The sequence below is a fragment of the Homo sapiens genome, chromosome 9 (genome assembly GCF_000001405.40).
Source record: "Homo sapiens chromosome 9, GRCh38.p14 Primary Assembly".
Classification (NCBI taxonomy): Eukaryota; Metazoa; Chordata; class Mammalia; order Primates; family Hominidae; genus Homo; species Homo sapiens.
This window is the reverse complement of record NC_000009.12, coordinates 38163294-38168759: the sequence shown is the minus strand read 5'-3', so window position 1 is coordinate 38168759 and position 5466 is coordinate 38163294. Positions and strand designations below refer to the sequence as shown.

Sequence of the window (5466 nt, the reverse complement as noted above, 5' to 3'; positions counted from 1 at the left end):
AAGAAGAAGAAGAAGAAGTTGTTGTTGTTTGAGGAGTCCTGAGATTTTTTTTTTTTTTTTTTGAGACTGAGTCTTGCCCTGTCACCCAGGCTGGAGTACAATGGCACGATCTCAGCTCACTACAACCTCTGCCTCCTGGGTTCAAATGATTCTCCTGCTTCAGCCTCCCGAGTAGCTGGGACTACAGGCACCCGCCACCATACCTGGCTAATTTTTGTATTTCTAGTAGATACAGGGTTTCACCATATTGGCCAGGTGGGTCTCGAACTCCTGAACTTGTGATCTGCCTGCCTCGGCCTCCCAAAGCGTTGGGATTACAGGCATGAGCCACTGCACCTAGCCTGTCATGAGATTTTTTATTTTCCTTTATATAACTTTAGACAAGGACTCAACTTTGCCACAGATGACATTAGCAGCAGACACAGGGATGAGGCGCCTATTTCATGGGACCAAAGAGTACAGACATCAGCGGGTAGCCAGAGCTGGCAAACACAAGAAGACTGTGAGCATATGTGGGACCCTTTCATAGCACAACCTGGAGAGATTTTTGAGATGGCTGAAGATCTAGCAGATTTTAAGTTATTATTATTAATATAACCTCCTTTCTACCCACAGTGTGTGAGAACCAGGGAGTTCAAGGTTACACTTGTTTCCAGCATCAGAGGGAAAGAGACAGATGGCATGGTTCTGTCAGCTCTATTACTTTGGGAGTTGGATAGGGTCATCCCACTCAATGGTTCATCATTTCTCAACTTCCAAATAATGAGAATAACATTAAGTTCATGGGGAGAATTTTCTGAATTTAAATTTTGTATTTATATATTTTCCTTAAAACACTAGTGCTTGCAACTGCTTGCCTACTTTTGAGCAGAGGTTTTTTTTTTTAGTGAACAAATGGCAAATGGCAAAATAAATATTAATGGGAAACAGAAACAGAATAAAACTGCAACTTCAACAAGTCTGCAATGAACACCTGGTTGTTACTACATTTTGCACATGTAGAAGAGAGCCATGTTTCCTACAGGTAAAACTGTTTCTCACTCTCATTTGCAAGATGAACTTAGATGTGCTGAGATTTCCTGGTGGACTACAAAGGTACAATGATGTCCAGACACTCTGTCCCTGAAAGGAGTGGAGGTCCACTGCTCTAGAAAAAGGTTAAAGGCAGGCTCTGAAACTTGGGAGGCCAAATCAAATGGCCCTGCCATCTTCCATAGCCCAAGCCATGATGACCCCCACATCCCAGCAGTCACAAGCCCTGTTTGGGCCTCCCAAATGCCTCACTGTGCACCCCCTGCACTCTGAGAGGCTAGAAAACATAAGGCTAAGGGTATGGACCCTGGAGCTGGACTGCCTGGTGCAAATCTCATCTTGACTTAGTAGCTCTGCAACCTTGTACAAGTCTCCTAACTGCTCCATGTCTCAGTTTCTGCATCACTGAAATGGGAATAATAATAGCACTTATTGATGAGGGCTGTGAGTGAATGCACCTGAAGCACATGGCCATCTGAGTGTCGGCTCCTGTTACTGTCACCGCGGTTACTGCTTCTTAGACCAGGCCTCATGGAGGCCACTAGTGTTCTCCTCAGAGCCTTGGCCCAAACCACTGGACAGTGAGTACCCAAAGCCCTGAGCCCTTCACTCACCCATCCAAAACCTCCAGTGACTCCTTGAGAGCCACAGAATCGAGTAGAAACTTCAAATCATCCCATTCAATGCTCTTCACGATATGGAGATTGACAGGTGTTGAAGAAGGGAAGGAGGAAGGGGATCAAATAAAAGAACACAGGGAAGGAAGGAAAAGATTGACTAGGGTGCTGCATCATTGCTTCTGCTCATTGGCTACTGTCCTAAATGCGTGGTCAAGTTGGAAATCAATTGTTTGGTTAAGTTGGTCATCTTAGGAGTCTGTTCCCTCTGCGTTTCAAAACCTAGACTGTAATTGGGTTAATGTCAAGAATAACTTATCACTCTAAGATAGGCATTTGGGGATTTTTGTCTGTAACTGGCCAGGAGAATGTAGCTTTGTGGATCCCCTGGGTGTTCACGGCCCTTGACTGGTTGCACTATGAACAAGATCAACCTAACAGGACTTGGAGGTGGACATCTGCAGAATTCGCCTACACTTTCTCTTCTGGACAAATCAGAGACACCCAGTGGTACTGGGCCCATCCACTACCACCACCACCACCCCCGCCCCAGCCCAGCCCAGTTTCCTGAGGACTGTCCCAGTTGGAGCAGGGAAAGCCCTGCATTGCGGGAAATCCCTAAGTTCCACAACAGGATGGTTGGTCCCCGCAAGGACCTGGCATCAGTGAATTCAGTCTGGCTCTCAGGGACTCCACGTTTGCTCCAAGAAGATACAAAAAGAACCCAAATTCCTCAGGACTGTAGTTCTAGCAAGGGTTCACAGATGATTTGTTATCAGAGCTTCTGGGAAGCTACTGGCTTCTAACTAGGACCTTCAGTGTTGACTGAAGTTTGGGCATGTGTGGTCAGCCTGGAGCCTGAGTAGCTTCAGCTTTTGCTTCCACACCCTCATAGGCCTCACCGCAGACCAGCTACAGAATCTCTGAGGAAGGCCCCCAGGCAGCAGCGTTGTAAAATCTCACCAGGTGATTCCAACCCACAGCCAAGTTTGAGAGAGCCAGTGATCTGGAACAGGGGCTGCAAACTTTTTCTGTAAAGGACCAGAGAATGACAACTTTTGGCTTCATGGGCGATAGGGCCTCTGTCCTGACTGCTCAACTCTGCCATCATACGGCAAAGGTAGCCACAGACAGTACATGAACAAATGGGCATGGCTGTGTTCCAGGCAGAGCCAGCCTCATGGGCGTTCAGCCTGTGCAAGCAAAGGGCCCACACTTAAAAGGACCCCTGTGCCTAGCTTAGTTCTCTGCCGTTGCTGTCTTGACAGTCTTCATAATTTTTGAACAAAGGGTCTCACGTTTTCATATTGCACTGGGTTCCACAAATTCTGTAGCCAATCCTGGTTCCAATAAAACTCTGTTTACGAAAACAGACATTGGGTCACATTTGCCCCGTGGGCCACAGTTTGCCAACCAATCAGTGATCTAGAGCCTTGTGCCCAAAGTTCAGTCCACTCGGAGTTGGTATGGAGACCAGCAAAAGCAGCAGCAGCAGCTGGTGGCTTGTTAGAAACCCTGAGTCTCTCGGCCAGGCATGGTGGCTCACACCTGTAACCCCAGCATTTTGGGAGGCCAAGGTGCGAGGATCACTTGAGCTCAGGAGTTCGAGACCAGCCTGGGCAACATAGCAAGCTCTTGCCTCTACTAAAAATAAAAGTTAAAAATTAGCTGAGCATGGTGGTGTGTGCCCATAGTCCCAGCCTGCTCAGGAGGCTGAGGTGAGAGGATCATTTAAGCCCAGCAGTTTGAGGCTACAGTGAGCCGTGATCATGCCATTACACTTCAGTCTAGATGACAGAGTGAGGCCATGTCTCAAAATAACGACAAAAAAAATTAATCCCAAGTCTCACCCTAGGCCTGCTGAAACAGAGTCTGCAGTTTAGCAAGATCCCCAGATGATTCCTCTGCACAGCAAAGCTTGAGAAGCACTGCCCAAAGAAAGGGGTTTAAGAATGGGGTTGACCACAGAAATGAAGTGGGGGTGTTTTAGGCAGGCATTTTCTTAAAGCTGGCTCCTTGAAGCTCTGTGTGTGCGTGTATGCACATACCCATGTGTGTACAGGTATGTGGAAATAAACAAAGGTCTTGATTTGCTTGAAACAGAGCCAAACTAAACAAAAAGCTTTGTCCTCAATATAACCTGCACACCCATTCATCCATTCACTCATTTACGCACCACACACATTCTCACACACATGCAGTGGTTTACATTCACACGCAGGCACACGTTCACAGGCATACCCGCTCACTCACCTGCACATATACATTCTCACCACCATTGCTGCCCGCTGCAGGAAGCACAGAGGAAATGTGGTGAGGTGCTGGCAGGGCCAGCCCTGTTACGAGAGGAAAGAGGCATTCCCGGAGGGGATGCCAGCCCCCAGGCCTGGAGGGGAGGGTGCTGGGATCAGCAGTTTAGCATGAGTGGGCGGGGGGTGGGGGGGGTCAGAAGCAAAGACCAAAGGGACCATAGAGGCAGGAGGAGGGCAGAGCCGAGTGAGGGCAGCCTGAGCGCTCTGAAGGTCCTCAGGCCTGAACGTGACCCCACGCCAACCACATCACAGGCTGCCAGAAACTAACATTCTAAGGAACAGTAAGATCTGTCCTCCCTTAGTGTCAAAGGGGAGACTGAGACCCAGAGAGGAGCAGAGACTTGCCAAGGTCACACTGCTGGCAGACCTCTAGCTAAAGATCTGGTTATCAATCAAATCCTGCCTCCTTGCTTGCAAGTTTTCCCATCCTGGCTGGGGTTTCAAGACATTCCCGTGGTGAGAGATGTTAAGGACACAGTTTTGGGGTGGGGAGTGGCAGTGGCTGTTCTTTGTGGAGAACAGCCTGCTAAGAGCAGAGATGGCAGCCCTGGAGGGACCCCCGGCTGAAGCTAAGTAGGAGGTGCTCTCTGACCTGCTTCCCTTTGCACAGTGAGGGGAGGGATGGGGAGCTGACATTGTCCCTTCAGTCCCTGCACCCATGGAAGCCTCCAGAGATGGAACAAGCAGCTTTGGGTCCTGTCTGTTGCTGAGTGTGTGTTTGGTCAGGAGAGAGAGCCTGGGAGAGAGGAAGCAATTATTTTTAGTATTTACTCTCCCATACATGATTCAGTTGAAAAAGAATATCACCTTTACTGTAAAAATCAACTTTAATACGGGAAATGCTTCTACACATGACAAAATTCTCAGCCTTGGGACACAGAAGCATTAATTAATAATGCTGCTGCTCCATGTTTTCTGTCACCCCCAACCCCAATTCAACAGGAGGCCATGGGGCCAAAGAATTGCCATGCTGGAAGGGATAGGAACCAGCCCTTGGGGAGGCAGCCTTGTGCTCTGGGAACCGACCACTTCCTAACCTCCTGTGCCAGCCAAGGCACAAACCTGCCAGAGTAGGTTGCTCCAAGAGACAAACAGAGTGGACTGTGCCAGGACCCAGGCAAAGTCCTCAACTGCCTGATTCAGCACGGGTATCAGCAAGGGGACCCAACACACTGCTTCCGCCCTCTGGGACTCAGTTTCCCCACCTGTGCAATAATGAGGGAGTTGACCCTTCCAGCCCTGATGTTCTATGACTCTAGGGGCTAGACAAGGGTTGGCAAACTACAGCCTACAGATCCAATCAGGCCCTCAGCTGTTTTTGCATAGCTCCTTAGCTAGGAAGTTTAAAGATATTTTTAAAGAACTATTTTTTTTTAAAAAAAGGAAAGAAAGCCACAAGGAAGGCTATGTGACATAGTCTGTATGTGGCCCACAAGGCCTAAAATACTTACTATTTAGCCTTTTACAGAAAAGGTTTGCCAATGACTTCCCTAGACAATGTTAGA

The 5466-nt window shown here is 48.3% G+C and overlaps 1 annotated feature.

Annotated features, from left to right (window-relative positions):
• Positions 4192–4251: an enhancer, noted in NCBI's record as "active region_28412". NCBI's record gives its function as "activates an Ori minimal core promoter by ATAC-STARR-seq in GM12878 lymphoblastoid cells {active_cell/tissue: GM12878}" and the evidence as "EXISTENCE:reporter gene assay evidence [ECO:0000049][PMID:35858748]".